We start from the raw sequence: 22167 nt of genomic DNA, 5'->3' as shown, positions 1-22167 counted from the left end.
TTTTAGTAGAGACGGGGTTTCACTATGTTGGCCAGGCTGGTCTCAGACTCCTGACCTCAAATGATCCACCTGCCTTGGCCTCCCAAAATGCTGGGATTACAGGCTTGAGCCGCCATGCCCAGCCTTAGTTTTTCTTTGTATCTTCTATTTCTTTGCTGAGACTTTCTACTTTAAAAAAATTTTATAAGTGTTTTTGTAATTGTTTATTGAAGCTTTTTTAAAAAAGATACAGAGTCTCACTATGTTGCCTATGGATTACATTACAGCACACTACAACCTCGAACTCCTGGGCTCAAGTGATCCTCCTGTGCTAGCCTCTCAAGCAGCTAGGACTACAGGTACACCCAATTCATTGAAGCACTTTTTATGGTGGCTCCTTTAAAATCCTTGTTAGATAAGGCTAACATCTATGTAACACTGAAATGTTAGTGCCTGTTGACTGTTGGGGTTTTTTCCATTTAAACTGAGATTTTCCTGGTTCTTGTATGATGAGTGCTTTTTGATTATATACTAAGCATTTTGAGTATTATTTTGTGAGGCTGAATCATTTTCTCTCTCTGCCTCTCTTTCTCTCTCTCTACCTCTCTTCCTCACTTCTTCTCTCTCTTTCTTTCTTCATTTGGCATGCAGTCACCCTGTTTAGGTAGAGCACACAGTTCCTAAAAGTGGTAAATGTTCAGCTCCCCACTGGGTCCCACTGACACCTTTCCAGGAAAAGCTGAGCACTGACTCCCACCACCTTCTTGCTGCCGAGTCGGGGTGGAAGTTTAGCTCTCTGCAGTGATTTGCTGATACCCAGAGGGACAGGAGAATGTGGATGAATTGTCTCAATACTTCTTCTTTCCGCCTCATGACTCCTGGTGGAATTTTTATTGGAAATGCATTGAATCTATAGATCAAATTGGGAAAAATTGACTTCTTAACAATATTGAGTCTTCCATCTCATGAACAAAGTATATCTCTTCATTTATTTAGGTCTTCTTTAATTTCTCTCAGTAACGTTTTATAATTTTTTTTTTTTTTAAGACGGAGTCTTACTCTGTCGCCCAGGCTGGAGTGCAGTGGTGCGATCTCGGCTCACTGCAAGCTCCGCCTCACGGGTTCACGCCATTCTCCTGCCTCAGCCTCCCGAGTAGCTGGGACTACAGGCGCCTGCCACCACGCCCGGCTAATTTTTTGTATTTTTTAGTAGAGACGGGGTTTCACTGTGTTAGCCAGGATGGTCTCGATCTCCTGACCTTGTGATATGCCCACCTCGGCCTCCCAAAGTGCTGGGATTACAGGCATAACCCACCATGCCCGGCCTGTGTTATAATTTTTAGTGTACAGGTCTTTTACATGTTTTATCAGATTTATCCCTAATAATTTTATATTTGCTGATATTATCATAAATGATAATGTCTGAAATCTACTATTAGGCTGGCAAAAAAGAAATTACTTCAAAAAATTGTAAAAAGAAATAAAGTAAATAATTTTAGAAAAATAAACAAAAACTAAAAAGTGGTATTGTCTTTTAGAATTTAAATTTCTGGCTGGGCATGGTGAATCACACCTGTAATCCCAGCACTTTGGGAAGCTGAGGTGGGAGGGGACCACCCTGGGCAACATAGCAAGACTCCATCTCTATTAAATTAAAAAATAAAGGAGAATAGTGTGAACCCAGGAGGCGGAGCTTGCAGTGAGCCGAGACTGCGCCACTGCACTCCAGCCTGGGCCTGGGCGACAGAGCGAGACTCTGTCTCAAAAATAAATAAATAAATAAAATAAAATAAAATTTAAAAATAAAAAATAAAGTTTAAATTTCTGATTGCTTATTGTGTAGAAGTACAACTGATTTTTCTGTTATTGATCTTGTATTCTACAAACTTTTCAAACCCCATTATTATAGAGCTTTTTCACAGATTCCATTTGATTTTCTAGATAGATAATCATGCCGTCTGTGAGTAAAAACACTTTTAAGTTTTACTTCTTAAGCAGTAGAGCTCAAAAAAAGAAAAACAGTTTTCCTTCTTCCTTTCCAGTTTGTATACCTTTATTTTTTCTTGCCTAACTGCAGTGGCCATAGCCATCGGCATAATGTTGAAGAGAAGTGGTGAAGGCAGACATCCTTGTGTTAGTCTTGATCATAGGGAAAAAGCATTCAGTATTTCACCATTATGTATAAGGCTGGCTACAATTTTCTCCTAAGTGCCCTTTCAAGGATGTTCCCTTCTATTTCTAATTTGTTGAGATTTTTTTAAAGTCAGGATTGGATATTGGATTGTGTTAAATGCTTTTGCTGTATCTGTTAATATAATTTTTCTTTTTTGGTCAGGCACGGTGGCTCATGCCTGTAATCCCAGCACTTTGGGAGGCTGAGGAGGGCAGATAACTTGAGGTCAGGACTTCAAGACCAGCCTGGCCAACATGGCAAAACCCTGTCTCTACTAAAAATAGTACAAAAAAATTAGCCAGGTATGGTGGCATGTGCCTGTAGTCCTCGCTACTTGGGAGACTGAGGCGAGAGAAATGCTTGAATCCTGGAGGCAGAGGTTTCAGTGAGCCAAGTTTGCACCACTGCACTCCAGCTTGGGTGACAGTGGGAGACTCTGTCTCAAAAATAATAATACTAATTTTTATTTTTTAAGTGTGTCTCTATGGTGAATTACATTGTTTTTGAATGTTAAATCAATTATGTGTTCCTGGGATAAATTTGTTCATGACGTATTATCCTTTTTATGCATTGTTTGATTTTATTTGCTGCATTTATGTTCGTGAGAGGAACTGGTCTTTAGTTTTCTGGTACGATCTTTGTATGATTTTGGTATCTGAATAATGCTGACCTCTAAGAATCATTGGGGAACTATTCCTTTCTCTTTAACTTTTGGGGAGTATTTGTGTAGAATTGGCATTATTTTTTTCTTAAATGTTTGGTAGAACTTACCAGTGAAGCCATCTAAGCCTGGAGTTTTCTTTGTGGGAAGATTTTTAGCTACAAATTCAATTATATTAATAGGTATAGAGATATTTAGGTTATCTATTCATCTTGCCTGTGTTTTAGTAGTTTATGTCTTTCAAGGAGTTCGTCCATTTTTATCTAAGTTGTTCAATTTGTTGCTTTTTCTTTCTTTTTTTTTTTGAGACAGAGTCTCACTCTGTTGCCCAGGCTGGAGGGCAGTGGTGCAATCTCAGCTCACCACAACTTTCACCTCCCAGATTCAAGCAATTCTCCTGCCTCAGCCTCCCAGGTAGCTGGGATTACAGGCGTACGCCATCACGACCAGCTAATTTTTTTATTTTCAGTAGAGACGGGGTTTCACTATGTTGGCCAGTCTGGTCTCGAAGTCCTGACCTCGTGATCTGTCCACCTTGGCCTCCCAAAGTGAATTTGTTGCTTTAACACTGTTTATAACATTATCTTATTCATTATCTTTTTGTAAAATAGCTTTTTATTTTGGAATAATTTTAGATTTACAGGAAAGTTTGCAAAGGTAGTACAGAGAGTTCCTGGATATCCTTCACCCAGTTTCAGTTTTCCCTAATGTTATCATCCTACATTTCTTTTTTTTTTTTTTTTTTTGAGACAGAGTCTCACACTGTCACCTGGACTGGAGGGCAATGGCGTGATCCTGGCTCACTGCAACCTCCACCTCCTGGGCTCATGCAATTCTCCTGCCTCAGCCTCCTGAGTAGCTGGGATTACAGGCTCACACCACCACACCCAGCTAATTTTTTGCATTTTTAGTAGAGACGGGGTTTCACTATGTTGGCAAGACTGGTCTCAAACTCCTGACCTCGTGATCCACCCGCCTCAGCCTCCCAAAGTTCTGGGATTATAGGCGTGAGCCACCACGCCCACCCCATCCTACATTTCTATGTGATATTTGTCAAAACTGAGAAACCAACATTGGCACATTATAATTAACTAAACTCCAGACTTTGTTCAAATCTCATTTTCCTACTAATATCCTTTCTCTGTTCTACAGTCCAAGCCTATATACCGCACTGCGTTTCATTGTCATGTCTCATTAGCATTCTCTGGTCAGAGACGGTTTCTCAATCTTTCATTGTGTTTCATGAGCTTGACGGTTTTAAGGAAAATGGGTCATGTGTTTTGTAGAATGTCCCTCAGTTTGGGCTTGTCTGATGCTTGTATCATGATTCAACTTAGTCATAGGGGTATTTGTTTATTTTGTTTGTTCGTGTTTTGAGACAGTCTCACTCTATTGCCCAGGCGGAGTGCAGTGGTGCAATCTTGGCTCCCTGCAACCTCCACCTTCCAGGTTCAAGCAATTTTCCTGCCTCAGCCTCCCCAGTAGCTGGGATTACAGGCACACACATCATGCCAGCTAATTTTTGTATTTTTAACAGAGACAGGGTTTCATCATGTTGGCCAGGCTGGTCTCAAACTCCTGGCTTCAAGTGATCAGCCCACCTCGGCCTCCCAAAGTGCTGTGATTACAGGTTTGAGTCACCTCACTGGGCCAGTCATAGATGTTTTAAAAGAATCACAGAGGCAAAGTGCCCTGTCATCATGTTGTATCAGGGGTACATGATATCCATATATCTAACTGATGATATTAATTTTGAGTTGTTGTTTAAGAGAGTGGTTGCCAGGTTTCTCCACTGTAAAGTTACTATTTTTCCCTTTCCATCTATTCTTTGAAAGAGAGTCCCTCAATCCAGCCTACCCTCAAAGTGGTTAAGCATTACCTCCTGCAAGAAAAAGTATCTACATATATTATTTAAAATTTGGAAGTCAAAGTATTCTGTAAAGATTTGTTTCCACTCCACCATTTAGTCTTTTAGTCAATCATTTGTTTATATCAGTATGGAGGCATGTATATTTTATACATTGGATATCTAATATTAGATACTTTTACACATTTTATACATTGGATTATAATCTAATACTGTCAGAGGTGTGTGAACCAGAGCAACTCCATCTTAAATAGGAGCTGGGTAAAATGAGGCTGAAACCTACTGAGCTGCATTCCCAGATGGTTAAGGCATTCTAAGTCACAGGATGAGATAGGTCAGCACAAAATACAGGTCATAAAGACCTTGCTGGTAAAACAGGTTGCGGTAAAGGAACCGGCCAAAACCCACCAAAACCAAAATGGCTACGAGAGTGACCTCTGGTCGTCCTTACTGCTACACTCCCACCAGCACCATGACAGTTTACAAATGCCATGGCAACGTCAGGAAGTTATCTTATATGGTCTAAAAAGGGGAGGCATGAATAATCCACCCCTTGTTTAGCATATCATCAATACATAACCATAAACATGGGCAACCAGGCCGGGCACGGTGGCTCACGCCTGTAATCCCAGCACTCTGGGAGGCCAAGGCGGGCGGATCACGAGGTCAGGAGATCGAGACCATCCCGGCTAACACGATGAAACCCCGTCTCTACTAAAAATACAAAAAATTAGCCAGGCGTAGTGGCGGGCACCTGTAGTCCCAACTACTCAGGGGGCTGAGTCAGGAGAATGGCGTGAACCTGGGAGGCAGAGCTTGCAGTGACCTGAGATCGCGCCATTGCACTCCAGCCTGGGCGACAGAGTGAGACTCCGTCTCAAAAAAAAAAAAAAAAAAACGGCAACCAGCAGCCCTTGGGACTGCTCTGTCTGTGAAGTAGCCATTCTTTTATTCCTTTACTTTCTTAATAAACTTGCTTTCACTTTGCACTGCAGACTCACCCTGAGTTCTTTCTTGAGTGAGATCCAAGAACTCTCTCTTGGGGTCTGGGTCTGGGCCCCTTTCCTGTAACAATACTGTGCTACTTATTTTGTTGCTCAAATTATTCCAGCTTTGGCCATGGAAGAGCACTTTCAGATTGACTCCTATGTCATTTTTTTTAGAGATAGGATCTCACTCTGTCACCCATTCTAGAGTGCAGTGTGATCATAGCTCATTGCAGTCTTGAACTCCTGGGCTCAAGTTATTCTCCAGCTCCAATCTTCCAGGTAGCTAGAACTACAGGCACACACCATCACTCTGGACTAATTTATGTATTTATTTATTTTTGGAGGGACAGGGTCTCAAACTCCTGGCCTCCAGTGATCTTCTCGTCCAATGTGCTGGAATTACAAGTGTGAGCCACCACATCCGGCTGACTCCTAAGTCTTTTGAAATGTGCCACACTCATCTCGTGCTTTCCTTGACCCAGCTCTAAAAGCCATTTCTCCAAGGAGCCCAGGTTGCCCTTATTGTGAAAGGAAATAAATCTTGGGGCCCCCAAATCACTAAGCTAAAGGGAATAGTCAAGCTGGGAACTGCTTAGGGCAAACCTGCCTCCCATTCTCTTCAAAGTCACCCCTGTACTCACTGATATAGATGCATATCTGATTGCCTCCTTTGGAAAGGCTAACAGAAACTCAAAAGAATGCAATGTCTCATTTATCTGTGACCTGGAAGCCCCCTCTCCGCTTAGAGTCTGCCTACCTTTGCTTCAAGTTGTCCCACCTTTCCAGACTGAACCAATGTTATTCTTACATATATTGATTGATGTCTCATGTCTTCCTAAAATGTATAAAACTAAGCTGTACCCCGACCACCTTGGGCACATGTTGTCAGGACTTCCTGAGGCTGTGTCATGGAGGGGCGTGTTCTCAACCTTGGCAAAATAAACTTTCTAAATTAACTGAGACCTGTCTCAAATTTTCAGGATTCGCATTTTGGTAACCATGGGAGGATTCTGAGTGGAGTTGCCCCCGACCTTTGACAAATCTCCTATCTGTGCTTGGTACCAGCATGAGCTAACTCTATGGCTCAAACTAATAGGACAATTTGCTGAGGTCTGAAAATACCCTCTACAGAGAATGCCTGATCTCCCCAAATTTGGTGGAGATCTAAAGTTTATTTTGCTGTACAACTCTTCTTTTTGTTTTTTGTAGTTTTACTTGCTTCCAACAGGAAGGCAAGTTTTCCTCCTTCCATGACGATGAAAGGCAGGTAACTCCTTTATGGAATTTGAGCTGGCTTCCAACAGGGAAGATGAGGTTTTTTTTCCTGCCTCTAGAATAGTAGAGAGCAGTCTACAGCCTGAGACCCATCACTAGGTAAGAAACTGGTTTGGGATTCTGTCTTGCCAATTCCTTTTAAATGACTAAAGTTAGCATTTACCAGCCAGCTGGTGTTAATTCCTACTTACACTTAGAACACTCAGAAATCGTATGTTGTGTGATCATTGTTAGTTTCGCTTAACTCTTGTTGTTGGCTGTACTTCTGAAATAGCAGCATTTTGTCCTAGCTGAAATATGGTAATAAGATTTAAAGAAAAAAAATTTTAAGCAGCTCAATGGTTAAAAATCAGCTTAATTAAAAGGATAACACACCCAAGATGTGTGTGTGTATGTGTGCATGTTTGTATTTGAAAGGCCTTCATGTTTTTGTTTGTTGTTGTTGTTTTTCTCTTCTAAGACCTTGTCTTTTTTTTTTTAACGAAAGTTTGTTTTTCTTTTTCTTCTCAGTTATCTGAATTCTGTTTTCACCTGATTTTTTGTTTGTTTGTTTGTTTTGCTAAAATAGTTACTGCAACAGAGGCTACTCTTGGGTTTTTAAGACAGAGTATAGTTTAATTTTATGTTTAATTTGACTCAAAGAAAAATAAAAGTGTCTCCCTCTAGCACCACCACATTTTTTCTCTCTCTACCTTATGATGTAAATTTTGCTATTTGATTTTCACCTGAGTTGTTTCCTTTAATGTGCAAATTTAAGGCTATTTAGCTGACAACTGCCTAGGTTTGTGAAACAGGTTATCAAGAATCTTGACAGTCTAAGAAAGGAAAAAAGAAAAGGGGGTGAGGGTCTTTATAAATGTATAAAATGTACTGCTGTCGGCATGCCTAATACGTCTTTATATATATTTATGTGTTGTGTACAAAATGTTTCACTACTAAAAATATATGAAAGAGCTCTAACTAATTGGCTTAAAGAAAAATACAAGCATGTAAATCAGATACTGAAAAAGAAAAGACTAGGCCGGGCACGGTGGCTCACGCCTGTAATCCCAGCACTTTGGGAGGCCAAAGCAGGTGGATCAAGAGGTCAGGAGTTCAAGACCAGCCTGGCCAACGTGGTGAAACCCTGTATCTACTAAAAATACAAAAATTAGCTGGCCATGGTGGTGTGCACCTATAATCCCAGCTACTGGGGAGGCTGAGGCAGGAGAATGGCTTGAACCCAGGAGGCAGAGGTTGCAGTGAGATGAGATCCTGCCACTGCACTCCAGCCTGGCTGACAGAGCAAGACTCCGTCTCAAAAAAAAAGACTAGTCAAATGCTTTTTCAGGTTTATGTAATAAGTAAAATCTTTAATAAATAAACTAGCTTTAAAATTACTGGTAAAGTACTATTAGAAATATCTAAAGAATTGCCAGCATACACTTTGTTTGCATTATTAATCAAGCAAATTTCATACTTACCCTGCCAAATAATGTAAGGTGTCAAAATTTGGCATAGAAGTTACAAAACTATAAACCCAGGCCAAAACAGAATGATCTATGCTTGTGTAATTTTTAGTAAATAAGACATTGATATGGGTTTAATAAAAATAGCTGCATTTTGAATTTAATAAGATTGCCATAACTTCTAATCCTGTGGCTTTAGACAGTCTGGTCCACAGACAGTAAGGAGGTTTGTTTTGGGAAAGGACTGTTATTGTCTTTGTTTCAAAGCTAAACTATAAACTCAGTTCCTTCCCAAAGTTAGTTCAGCCCATGCCCAGGAATGAACAAGGACAGCTTGGAGGTTAAGAGCAATATGGAGTCAGTTAGGTCAAAACTTTTTCCACTGTCTCAGTTATAATCTTGCAATGGCAGCTTCATAGTTTTAAATCATGACTATCACAGTTTTCGTAAATAATCTAGGTAAAGAATTAAAATAAAATAATTAGGTAAATGTAATGGGACAAATACTTGCAGACAAACTGGTCACAATTTAGAAATAAAGTTAAATTCAATAATAGGTATTTTATTATTTGGGTATTTTCCAATAAATATATATTGTAGGAAAACATTCTTGCTTAAAAAAAAAAAAGGGTGTCCTTTTTTTAAAAAAAAGAGAAAAATTTTTGTCTAATTCCAAGCTCATTTAAAGGCTCTGTATAAAACAAGGTAAAAGGAACCAGGAAATAAAAAACAGAAGTAAAGAAAGTTATAAAAATAAAGAGATTTTTTGTGTGTGTAGTAAGAAAGCTTAAAGAGAAATAATTGTATATGAGAAAGAATCTTTTATAGTAAATGTTTAGTCCTAAAATAAAAATGACTGGTTGATTAAGAAGGAGGGATGTTCAGGACAAACCAGAAAGTCCAAATATTATTATTAAGTTTTGGTTTGCTTAGGAAAAAAACTGAGTTAAAACTTTTTTTAAACTAAGATATTTCATCCATGTATCTTTCTATACGTGCTTTTAAAGTCCTTGTTGACCTCTACAAGGAAAAGTACAAAACACTGCTGAGAGAAATCATAGACGACAGAAACAAATGAAAATATACCCCATGCTCATGGATGGGTAGAATCAATATTGTGAAAATGACCATACACAATCCCCATCAAAATACAACACAATCCCCATCAAAATACCACCATCATTCTTCATAGAATTAGAAAAAACAATTCTAAACTTCATATGGAATGAAAAAAGTGCCTGCATAGCCAAAGCAAGACTAAGCAAAAAGGACAAATCTGGAGGTATCACACTAACTGATTTCAAACTATACTATAAGGTCATAGTCACCAAAACAGCATGGTACTGGTATAAAAATAGGTACATACACCAATGGAACAGAATAGAGAATCCAGAAATAAACCAAATACTTACAGCCAACTGAGCTTTGACAAAGCAAACAAAAACATAAAGTGGGGAAAGGACACTTTTTAATAAATGGCGCTGGGATAATTGGCTAGCCACAGGTAGGAGAATGAAACTAGATCCTCATCTCTCACCTTATACAAAAATCAACTCAAGATGGATTAAGGACTTAAATCTAAGACCTGAAACTATAAAAACTCTAGAAGATAATTTTGGAAAAATGCTTCTAGACATTGGCTTAGGCAAGGATTTCATGACCAAGAACCCAAAAGCAAATATAATAAAAACAAAGATAAATAGTTGGGACTTAATTAAACTAAAGAGTTATTTTGCACGGCAAAAGGAACAGTCAGCAGAGTAAACAGACAACCCACAGAGTGGGAGAAAATCTTCACAATCTATCCATCTGACAAAGGACTAATATCCGGAATCTACAACGAACTCAAACAAATCAGTAAGAAAAAAACAAACAATCCCATCAAAAAGTGGGCTAAGGACATGAATAGACAATTCTCAAGAGAAGATATACAAATGGCAAACAAACGTATGCTCAGCATCACTAGTGATCAGGGAAATGCAAATCAAAACCACAATGCAACACCACCTTACTCCTGCAAGAATGGCTATAATCAAAAAATCAAAAAACTGTAGATGTTGGCATGGATACGGTGATCAGAGAACACTTCTACACTACTGGTGGTAATGTAAACTAGTACAGCCACTAGGGAAAACAGTGTGGAGATTCCTTAAATAACTAAAGTAAGGCCTACCATGGTGGCTCATGCCTGTAATCCCAGCACTTTGGGAGGCCAAGGCAGGTGGATCACATGAGGTCAGGAGTTCAACACCAGCCTGACCAACATGGTGAAACCCCATCTCTACTAAAAATACAAAATTAGCCAGGTGTGGTGGCACACACTTATAATCTCAGCTACTTGAGAGGCTGAGGCATGAGAATTGCTTGAACCCGGAAGGTGGAGATTGCAGTGAGCCAAGATCGTGCCATTGCACTCCAGCGTGGGTGACAGAGCAAGGCTCCATCTCAAAAAAAAAAAAAAGGGGGACTAAAAGTAGAACTACCATTCGATCCAGCAATACCACTACTGGGTATAGACCCAGAGGAAAAGAAGTCATTATACAAAAAAGATATTTGCACGCACATGTTTATAGCAGCACAATTCACAATTGCAAAATCGTGGAACCAACCCAAATGCCCATCAATCAACAAGTGGATAAAGAAATTGTGGTAGATGAGATTGGAGACTATTATTGTAAGTGAAGTAGCCCAGGAATGGAAAACCAAACATCATATGTTCTCACTGATCTGTGGAAGCTAAGCTATAAAGATACACAGGCATAAGAATGATATAATGGACTTTGGGGACTTTGGGATCTTGGGGGTGAGGGTTGGGGGGATGAGAGATAAAAGACTACAAATAGGGTGCAGTGTATACTGCTTGGGTGATGGGTACACCAAAATCTCACAAATCACCACTAAAGAACTCAGTTATGTAACCAAATACTCCCTGTTCCCCAAAAAACCTATGGAAAAATTAAAAAACAAAATAAAATGAAATAAAATAAAGTCCTTGTAACATTGAGTTAGAGGGCTTTAACTCCTGGGTCTAAAATGGACACCAAGTCCTGTTAAATTTTAAACACTCACAGCAATTTTTTTTTTTTTTTTTTTTGAGACAGGGTCTCGCTCTGTCGCCCAGGCTAGAGTGCAGTGACCAATCTTGGCTCACTGCAACCTCCACCTCCCAGGTTCACGCCATTCTCCTGCCTCAGCCTCTCGAGTAGCTGGGACTACAGGTGCCCACCACCATGCCCGGCTAATTTTTTGTATTTTTAGTAGAGACAGGGTTTCACCGTGTAAGCCAGGGTGGTCTCGATCTCCTGACCTCGTGATCCACCCGCCTCGGCCTCCCGAAGTGCTGGGATTACAGGCGTGAGCCATCACGCCCAGCCTAAACACTGACAGCAATTAAAGCCTCATCTTTAGGCCCTGTAGAAGATGCCAATCAAAATAAAATGCATTCCTGAGACACAGGGCAAGAAATTAAAGCTATTCAACTCCTCAAGGCCCAGGGACTATCACGGAAGAGGTGGGCACATAAGATCAAAGATTGTAAGGGCCGATTTGGAAAGATAAATAAGTTTAGTTTCTCTATAAATTAATCATTAGTGTCAAAAACACACTGATGCAAAAACCAGTATATGGACCCCTGTATTAGATTAACAAGTTTTTTGTGAAGCATTAACCAACTGCTTTTTTTTTTTTTTTTTTAAGACAGGGTCTTGTTCTGTTGCCCAGGCTAGAGTGCAGTTGCGCAATCTCGGCTCACTGCAAGCTCCTCCTCTTGGGTTCAAGCAGTTCTCCTGCCTCAGACTCCCGAATAGCTGGGATTACAAGTGCACACCACCACGCTTGGCTAATTTTTGTATTTTTAGTAGAGATAGGGTTTCACCATGTTGGTCAAGCTGGTCTCGAACTCCGGACCTCAAGCAGTCCACCCACCTCGGCCTCACAAAGTGCTGGGATTACAGGCATGAGCTACTGTGCCCGGCCTCCAACTCCTTAATAAAGTTTATAAAGGTTATAAAAGGTTTATGGAAGTTATATTTTATACTCAAGAATAAACTTTATAGATTGCTTACAAAATTTGGAAAAGCAAGTGGAATTGGCTCCATGCTGTTTTTATTAGGGCTTCAGGTTTAGAAAATTAAGTCCCCTCTCTCAATAAATGAAGGTTTTCACTATTTTTGAAATCCTTGAATTACCACTTTGGTTAAACAGATGACTTTACAATGACCTGAAATCCTATTTTGTAATATCAAGTGTTTTAAACCTTTTATATTTGACAAACTTTCCAAAATTAAATTATAAATTGTGTCTTGTTCTAACCTAATTACTCCTTTAAGATATTACATTCCCTAAAGTCCAAAAATAATATAATTTGGCTTATTTGGTATAAAAATTATACAGGAAGCATTGTCAAATATGAAATGGTTATTTGGTTTCTTTGAGCTGTATTTGTATAAATGTTATTGGTATGTGTTCCAAAATTATGAGAAACTTATAATTCTAATATAACTTAGTGTACATTATCAATAACAATAATTGTTATGTTAAGTTAAAATTACTGTGTGCCACAGAGGTAACAAATTCCCTTGTCAATTATGTTTTTGACTATGGCTGCCCTAAAACTTTTTGTCATCCACAGACAATTGTTGCCTTGTTTTGGTTCTCTTTAGAAGATGGTTTTATAACCAGCTATTAAACTATAACAGGTGCTCTTGAGTGCAGATTTCTGATAGCTTTGGAGATTGTGACATCAGAATAGAGAAAAAACTTTCAAGACTCATGGAGAGCTAAAATGTTCATGAATATCAAGCAGAACAGGAATTAACTGCATGGACTGAACTAATCTTTTTGACTTTTTGCTTAAAATGTTGCTGATCCTTTATTCTGTTTTTCAGAGTCTTAAAACTTTTCTTTTGAGCTATTGACAGCTTTCAACAATTTAGTATACTCCCATGAACAAAATTTGGAGCATATTTGTTTCTCTGTAATTGATTTTCTCCAGAATTTGAAAACTATTTGTGAGCTTCTTAACTTTTGGCAATACAGTTAGTTGCATAAGTGCAATAAGAATCTGTTTTCATTTTTAACAGGACACAATTGAAGAAACTGGTAGTTTTACCAAGGCTTTGACTGGAATGGTGCACTTTCCTATAAGGAATCAAACTTGACTTAAGAAGCCAATAAAGCCCTTGGAAAAACTGGCCTCATATTTTGTGTACACAGTCCGTGTACAGGGTTTCTGGCCTGTGGTAAGTAAAGAATATCACTTTCTGACAGGCACGGAAGCCCCAGATTTATCTTGGATCCTCAAGAGGAGAGGAAATTCAGACCAAGTACAGTGGCTCACACCTGTAATCCCAGCACTTTGGGAGGCCGAGGTGGGTGGATCACTTGAGGCCAGGAGTTCGAGACCAGCCTGGCCAACATGGTGAAACCCCATCTCTGCTGAAATTACAAAAATTAGCCAGACACAGTGGCACGCACCTGTAATCCCATCTACTTGGGAAGCTGAGGCATGAGAATTGCTTGATCCCAGGAGGCAGAGGTTGCAGTGGGCCAAGATCATGCCATTGCACTCTAGCCTGGGTGACAGAGCAAGAATCTGTCTCAAAAAAAAAAAGTTGGGGGAGAGGAAATTCACCCAACTTGTAGGTATTTGATGGCACAAATTCATGGCTGGATTCAGCTTTAAAATCTTATCTGAGATTCCTCCTATGGAACAAAGTTTCATCAAAGCCCATTTAAAAGCCTATGTAAAAAATAATTATTTTTGCTGAACTGTATACAAATAATTTGGCCAAGCATAATAAGCAAACCAATCCTACCATGATTTATCTTTAGTAAAATGGGAAACTAGAGAGAGAGAGAAAAAAATGTTTCAAGACGATAGTACACTCGTTGTTAGAGTCTAGTCTTGCCTAATTTTTTTTTTTTTAATTTTTTATTATGTTCTACAGTTTGGGCTGAATTCTAATTGTTTCTTGGCTACAAGTCTTCAAAATAATGTTTTCAACTTTTTCTTTTTTTTCCCTTCTTTTTTTCCCATGTTTCCTAATTAGGAGTCACTGAAAACTAAGCTGTGCTTTCTTAAAGCCCAGCTAACTGAGACTAAACAACTTAAACTTCAGAAGAAAATAACAGCAACCAATTTACATACCTGCCTACTGACTATAGACTTCAGAGAAATGTGGCCTATATAGATTTTCCAAGAATGTTCTTTTGTTTGTTGTTGTTTTTTCTCCCTTCCTCCCCACTATTTTTCCTTCATAGGACATGAGACTTCACAACCTGCTAAAAATCTTCGTTCGGGACCTACCTGTCTAGGAATAAACCATCCTTGCCATGAGAGATCAAATGAAACCTGAGACCAGAGATTCATTTTCTTGTAAAATGCCTTCTCCAAAAGATTTTTGAAAAGAAAGGGGGGAAATATGAAAGGAAATTAAAGCTTGGGGCCCCCAAATCACTAAGCTAAAGGGAATAGTCAAGCTGGGAACTGCTTAGGGCAAAGCTGCCTCCCATTCTATTCAAAGTCACCCCTGTGCTCACTGAGATAGATGCATATCTGATTGCCTCCTTTGGAAAGGCTAACAGAATCTCAAAAGAATGTAACCATTTGTGTATCACCTATCTGTGACCTGGAAGCCTCCTCCCCACTTCAAGTCTTCCTGCCTTTCCAGACTGAACCAATGTACTTCTTACATATATTGATTGATGTCTCATGCCTCCCTAAAATGTATAAAACTAAGCTGTACCCCAACCACCTTGGGCACAGGTCTTCAGGACTTCCTGAGGCTGTCACGGACACATGTCCCCAACCTTGGCAAAATAAACAATTAACTGAGACCTGTCTCAAATTTTCAGAGTTCACAGTATTTTGAAACCAAAATCTGGACACAAGATGTGCCCATTGCTATGGGGGTGTCATTGCCTCTAGGCCCTCTCAGTGGACAGCGTGAGGTATAGCACTAGGTAATATTTGTGTGTATACCGACTCATGTATATACACATATTTCTGTCTATATATATACCAAGCTAGCTAACCAACTCTAATCCACTACCCAAGGGCTCATTCTATTTTTCCCTCCTTGCTTATATGTTACTTCTCTTTCTGATAGTGAAAACCCTTCCTCCCAAAATCCACTATACATTTACTTATTTGTTCAGCCCCAGTACATATGTAAAGCCGTTTGAGAACTATTAACCCATATACCATGAGAAACAGACTTACCAGCTAGAGTATAGTGTTTACATACAGTACGTGGACCTTTTTTTTTTTTTGGACAGAGTTTTCTTGTTCTCAGGCTGGAGTGCCATGGCGCGATCTCGGCTCACTGCAACCTCTGCTTCCCAGGTTCAAGTGATTCTCCCGCTTCAGCTTCCCTAGTGGCTGGGATTACAGGTACCCGCCACCACGCCCAGCTGATTTTTTTTATTTTTAGTAGAGACGGGGGTTTCACTATGTTGGCTAGGCAGGTCTCCTGACCTCAGGTGATCCACCCTCCTCCGCCTCCCAAAGTGCTCAGATTTCAGGCGTGAGCCACCACGCTTGGCTCCAGTATGTGGACCTTTTTTGATATTTGAAGAAATTTGATTATAAACTGGATATTAGTTGATACCAAGGAATTATTGTTAATTTCATTAGGTGTGATAATGGCCTTGAGTTATGTAAGACAATTCCATAATTTTTTTCAGAGGTGCTTATTGAGATATGTGGGGATGAAATAGCATGATGTCTGTAGTTATTTTTTAAACATTTCAGTAAAGAAGACAAGACATATAAGAAGGCAGGAATGTCAGGCCTCTGAGCCCAGGCCAGGCCATCGCATCCCCTGTGACTTGCACGTACACATCCAGATGGCCTGAAGTAACTGAAGATCCACAAAAGAAGTAAAAACAGCCTTAACTGATGACATTCCACCATTGTGATTTGTTCCTGCCCCACCCTAACTGATCAATGTACTTTGTAATCTCCCCCGCCCTTAAGAATGTACTTTGTGAGATCCCCGCCTGCCCACCAGAGAACAACCCCCTTTGACTGTAATTTTCCATTACCTTCCCAAATCCTATGAAATGGCCCCACCCCTATCTCCCTTCGCTGACTCTCTTTTTGGACTCAGCCCGCCTGCACCCAGGTGAAATAAACAGCCATGTTGCTCAAAAAAAAAAAAAAGAAGACAAGACATAGAAGGGGGAAATAGGTAGATAAAACAACATAGCAAAATCTTGATAATTGTAGAATCTGGGTGAGGATTCTGATACATGAGAGTTCATTGTATTATTCTCTCTCCTTTGGGGAATGTTTGAAATTCTTTATTATACAATATTTTTTATTATTTTTTAATTATATTTGTTTTTTTAAATAATTTTTAATTTGCTTATTTAATATTTACTTTTAATATAGGCAAATTAGTGAAAATTATTTTTGAGATGGAGTCTCGCTCTGTTGCCAGGCTGGAGTGCAGTGGCATGATCTCAGCTCACTGCAACCTCCGCCTCCCGGGTTCAAGCAATTCTCATGCCTCGACCTCCCAAGTAGCTGGGACTACAGGCATGTACCACCACACATGGCTAATTTTTGTATTTTTAGTAGAGACAGGGTTTCACCATGTTGGCCAGGCTGGTCTCAAACTCATGGCCTCATGAAATCCACCTGCCTCAGCCTCCCAAAGTGCCGGGCTTACAGGCGTGAGCCACAGTGCCTGGCCTCTCGTTATATTTTTCTCACCCTTTCTGGATGATAACATCAGTGACCACTTATGTACTAATAACACTTAAATATGATTTTTTAGCCCAAATCTTTCTCCTGGGCTAGGGATACCATATATCCAACTGTCCACCAAGTGTTACCACATACATGTCCTATATACATTCATTCAGCAATTTTAAATTGGGTACCTACTTAGTCCTAGGCACTGTACTGGGCCCTGAAGACATTAGTGAGCAAAAAAAGCACCATTGTCCCTGCACTCATGGAGTTTGCAGTCTAGATGGGGAGGTAGACATTAATCATAAAATCACTCTAGTTATCACAAGTGAGGACTCTGAAACAAAGAACACACTCTAGGGCCAGGAATGGGGTGGGTGGGGGCTTCTTTGAGGAAGTAACAATTGTGCTAAATCAGAAGGATGAATAGCAGTGAACTAGGCTAAGGGCGAAGAGAAGCCTCTAGGCAGAAGGAAGAGCATGGACACAAAAAAAGCCCTTTGGGCCCTAGAACAGTGGCTCATGCCTGTAATCCCAGCACTTTAGGAGGCCTAGGCAGGAGGATTGCTTGAGACCAGGAGTTCAAGATCAGCCTGGGCAACATAGCAAGACCCCATCTCTATAAAAATATTTTAAAAATTAGCTGGGCATGGTGGTGCAGCCCTGTAGTCCTAGCTACTCAGGAGGCTGAGGCGGGAGGATTGCTTGAGCCCAGGAATTCAAGGCTGTAGTGAGCTATGATCACTCCACTGCCCTCCAGCCCGTGTGACAGAGCAGGCCCCTGTTTCTATGTTTTTGTTTTTGTTTTTTTGAGCCCTTTGGTAGGTCATCTGAGGACTGAAAGGAGGTTGGTGTGGCTGTGGCACAGAGAGCAGTGGTGACGCAGAGTGGGCTTGGAAGCCAGCTGGAGGTTGGGCCATGCATTTTGGCATGATAATGGCGGAGCGGGGCAGGCTGGAGAAAGAGCAGAAAGAATAATGACAGAGAGACAGTGGGCACTCAGAGGATTGGTAGTTACAATCAGAAAGAAATTTTTCGGCACCTGGTAAAAGGCACTTTTCCATGGTGGCTAAGTGTCTAGGCTCTGATTTGCAGAGTAAATGCTAAGCCAGGTGCTCCCGTTCATAAGGAAGTTTTCAGAGGTCAGTAGACAGCAGCAATTGAGGATGTGACCAAGTGGTAGTAAGCATCCAGAGAAGAATTGAGAAATAACAATGTCATGATTGAAAGCAACTGAGACAGAAAAGAATGTTGTACCTTTTTTCTCCCGTGGCACAGTGAAAAGAGCAAATGCAGTGAGGTCAATCAAGATTTAGAGTCCAATTACAGCTCTGCCATTGTGTGTGTCCTTGGCAAGTCACATAATTTTGAACCCGTTTCCTCCTTTGTAAAATGCAAAACAACGTTTACCTTGAAAGGTTGTTTGGAAGGTTAAACGAAATTAAACATGATGAAATTCCTTGTTACATGAAGTGTCTGGCACATAGTGATTGCTCAATACATGCTAGTCCCTTCCACCGTCCAGGTGCCATCAGAACATGGCAAGGACCCATCTCTACTGAGGAGTATTAGGAGGGTGGATGTGCTGTCGGGAGAGCACAGGTTTCATTTGAGGTGTGGAGGTCCAGGGAGTGTTGGAAGAAGATACTGAGCACACGAAATGAGTGCATGAAGTAGGGGAGAATTAGCACTAAATTGAATTACTGAATAGAAATGAGACTATAATGAAGGAAGAGCATTACAAAACAATTGGTTCCAGAGCAGTGAGGGTGAATCATGGGAACAAAGGACATCGAAGCCTTAGAGGTAGACAAGAGATATGGTGAAGATGGGCTACGAGTCAAGCGCTTATAATTCCATTTGGTTCCTCTGATAGCTTAATTCATTTATTATAAATCTTCCATGTTTTCTAAATCTGTGAGACTTTACATTTACCTCAGAATACTACTTTAGCTGCATCTCATGGGTTTTTTTTTTTTCTTTAGAGACAGAGTGTCACTATGTTGCCCAAGCTGGACTTGAACTCCTGAGATCAAGCAATCCTTCCACCTCAGCCTCCCAAATAGCTGGGACTGTAGACGTGCACCACAACACCTGGCTCCTATATGCAGTACTTTCATTGTCAGTTAACTTCTAGTTATTTCATTTCCATTATTATTATTTAACCGAGTTATTTCGTTCATTTTCAAATTTCCCAAAAGTCTTTACCTTATTTTCTATTTTAATTGTTGATTGCTAATTTAATTTCATTGTGACCCAAGAATCTGTGTGATGCTGTATGATTTCACATCTTTGAAATTTCTAGAGCTCCTCTGTGACCCAGTAAATCGAAATGTTTTTAAATATACCATGCATACTTGGAAATAATGTATAGTCTCTATTTTTTAATGCACAGTTCTTTAGAAATCTGTTAGATCAAGCTTGCTAATTTGTTCAAATATTTTATCTGTTTACTAATTTTTCTGGCCTGTTTGATACAGCAGCGTTGTTTTTTTTTTTTTTTTTTTTTTTGAGACAGAGTCTCACTCTGTAGCCCAAGCTGGAGTGCAGTGGCACGATCTCGGCTCACTGCAACCTCCATCTCCCGGGCTCATGCGATTCTCATGCCTCAGCCTCCCACATAGCTGGGACTACAGGTGGGTGCTACCACGCCCAGATAATTTTTATTTTAGTAGAGATGCAGTTTCACCATGTTGCCCAGGGTGGTCTCAAACTCCTGAGCTCAGATGATCTGCCCACCTCAGCCTCCCAAAGTGCTGGGATTATAGGTGTGTGTCACTGCGCCTGGCTGATTTATCAGCTTCTAATAGAGGTACATTAAAATTTCTCCCAATGATTGCAAATTTTCCAAATTTGTTTTTCAATTCTATCAATTTTTTCTTCATCTATTTCAAGCCTTATTTTTAGGTACTTAGAAGTTCAAGATTGTCATATCTTCTTGAGTGTTCTTTTAATTATTTTATATTGGCCTCCTTTATATATATTGATGCTTTTTGCCTTAAATTCTAATGTGACTGATAATACCATTGCTGCCATGTTTATGTAGTGCTTGTCTGCTACCTATTTTCCTCTTTTGTTTTTAATTTTTAAGTGATAGTATATGAGGCCAGGAATGGTGGCTCATGCCTGTAAACCCAGCACTTTGGGAGGCCGAGGCGGGTGGATCACCTGAGGTCAGGAGTTCCAGACCAGCCTGGCCAACATGGTGAAACCCTGTCTCTACTAAAAATACAAAAATTAGCCAGGCGTAGCGGCAGGCTCCTGTAATCCCATCTACTTGGGAGGCTGAGGCAGGAGAATCGCTTGAACCCAGGAGGCGGAGGTTGCAGTGAGCCAAGATCGCGCCACTGCACTCCAGCTTGGGCAACAAGAGTGACACTCCATCTCAGAAAAAAAGAAAGATAGTATATGGTTTTAAAAGTCATATTGTACTACAAAACTTCTAATAACTACCCCCACTCTTCTTCTCTTTCCATTCTTCCTTTTTTTTTTTTGTTAAATCTTCTACTGGTATGCGTTATTATGACTATCTACATATTCTTTATTGCTGAGCCAAATCAAACAATTCCTTGAAGTTAATACTTGCCTCATGTTTTCATTTGCTTGCTTTTCTGTGTCACTATCGCTAGTTCTTCTTAGACTCATTAGATAAAAACATAAATCCGCCCCCTGGGTACTATGTTCCAGGCTGCCAAACATCAAGTAATCCTCAGCTGCATTTTTATTTTCTGGGAGACATCCTCTTGAGTCCTCCATTCTGCCCTCCCTCTGGAGGGGTGGCTGTCTGGTCCTAATTCACCCTCTTATCCTAGGAATTCTCTTTGACTGTCTCTAGTTGTGGTACCTTATTCCTGAACTCAGGGTCTTCTTCCTCCTTTACTTATTCCCTTATTTTGGTGGTGCACATTCTCCAACAGCTTTCTGAAAAAGAACACAAGAGAGGTAAATGTGAGATCTTATATTTTGATAGAGATTTTATTTTATACCCACTTTTGATTGATACTTTGGCTATGTATAATTTTCTGAGTTGAAAATCATATTCCTTCTCAATTTTGAAGACATTGCTCCATTTAAACTTCTATAATAGCATTGCTGCTGAGAAAGGCAGTGCCATTCTGGTAACATTCTTTTTTTTTTTTTTTTTTTTTTTTTTTAGACAGAGTTTTTCTCTTGTTGCCCAGGCTGGAGTGCAATGGCGTGATCTCGTCTCACAGCAACCTCCACCTCCCAGGTTCAAGCGATTCTCCTGCCTCAGCCTCCCTAGTAGCTGGGATTACAGGCATGTGCCACCATGCCCGGCTAATTTTTGTATTTTTACTAGAGACAGGGTTTCTCCATGCTGGTCAGGCTGGTCTCAAACTCCCGACCTCAGGTGATCCGCCCACCTTGGCCTCCCAAAGTGCTGGGATTACAGGCATGAGCCACCGCACCTGGCCATAAAGCTATATTTTTAAAAAATTGGTCTTATGAAGATAATTAAAGGCATAAAGGCATAGTTATCACCAAATTAGTGACTATAGTTTCTGGCCTTCCCATAATTAGAATATTCTTTTTTTTATTATTATACTTTAAGTTCTAGGGTACATGTGCACAAAGTGCAGGTTTGTTACATATGTATACATGTGCCATGTTGGTGTGCTGCACCCATTAACTCGTCATTCACATTAGGTATATCTCCTAATGCTATCCCTTCCCCCTCCCCCCACCCCACAACAGTCCCCGGTGTGTGATGTTCCCCTTCCTGTGTCCAAGTGTTCTCATTGTTCAATTCCCACCTATGAGTGAGAACATGCGGTGTTTGGTTTTTTGTCCTTGTGATAGTTTGCTGAGAATGATGATTTCCAGCTTCATCTATGTCCCTACAAAGGACATGAACTCATCCTTTTTTATGGCTGCATGGTATTCCTTGGTGTATATGTGCTACATTTTCTTAATCCAGTCTATCATTGATGAACATTTGGGTTGGTTCCAAGTCTTTGCTATTGTGAATAGTGCCGCAATAAACATACATGTGCATGTGTCTTTATAGCAGCATGATTTATAATCCTTTGGGTATATACCCAGTAATAGGATGGCT

At 40.1% G+C, this 22167-nt stretch overlaps 1 protein-coding gene and 1 long non-coding RNA gene across 7 annotated transcripts in view, besides 2 other annotated features; one reads left to right on the top strand and one right to left on the bottom strand.

The window, feature by feature from the left end:
- Window positions 1–22167, bottom strand: part of RNF212B (ring finger protein 212B) — an 88142-nt gene that overhangs the window by 59142 nt on the left and 6833 nt on the right. For all 4 annotated transcript variants that reach the window (NM_001370218.3, XM_011536323.3, XM_011536316.3 and 1 more), the window contains exon 2: window positions 20935–21011. The gene's annotated coding sequence lies outside the window, so the exon portion shown is untranslated. The remainder of the gene's footprint in view (window positions 1–20934; window positions 21012–22167) is intronic.
- Window positions 244–19454, top strand: LOC105370406 (uncharacterized). 3 transcript variants are annotated; one of them, XR_943606.3, is made up of 4 exons: window positions 244–338; window positions 6879–7043; window positions 13474–13632; window positions 19076–19454. It is a non-coding gene; the product is annotated as an uncharacterized LOC105370406 (long non-coding RNA). The 3 variants fall into 3 exon arrangements; XR_943605.3 differs by lacking the exon at window positions 19076–19454 and adding an exon at window positions 14654–15240; XR_007064078.1 differs by lacking the exon at window positions 19076–19454 and having other exon boundaries at window positions 13474–15240.
- Window positions 7335–7940: an enhancer, noted in NCBI's record as "OCT4-NANOG-H3K27ac hESC enhancer chr14:23675605-23676210 (GRCh37/hg19 assembly coordinates)". NCBI's record gives its function as "activates a minimal SCP1, AML or CMV promoter by ChIP-STARR-seq in naive and primed H9 embryonic stem cells {active_cell/tissue: H9 hESC(naive and primed)}" and the evidence as "EXISTENCE:reporter gene assay evidence [ECO:0000049][PMID:30033119]".
- Window positions 15527–16311: an enhancer, noted in NCBI's record as "H3K27ac hESC enhancer chr14:23667234-23668018 (GRCh37/hg19 assembly coordinates)". NCBI's record gives its function as "activates a minimal SCP1, AML or CMV promoter by ChIP-STARR-seq in primed H9 embryonic stem cells {active_cell/tissue: H9 hESC(primed)}" and the evidence as "EXISTENCE:reporter gene assay evidence [ECO:0000049][PMID:30033119]".

Source organism: Homo sapiens, chromosome 14 (genome assembly GCF_000001405.40).
Source record: "Homo sapiens chromosome 14, GRCh38.p14 Primary Assembly".
NCBI lineage: Eukaryota > Metazoa > Chordata > Mammalia > Primates > Hominidae > Homo > Homo sapiens.
This window is presented reverse-complemented; position numbering and strand designations above follow the sequence as displayed.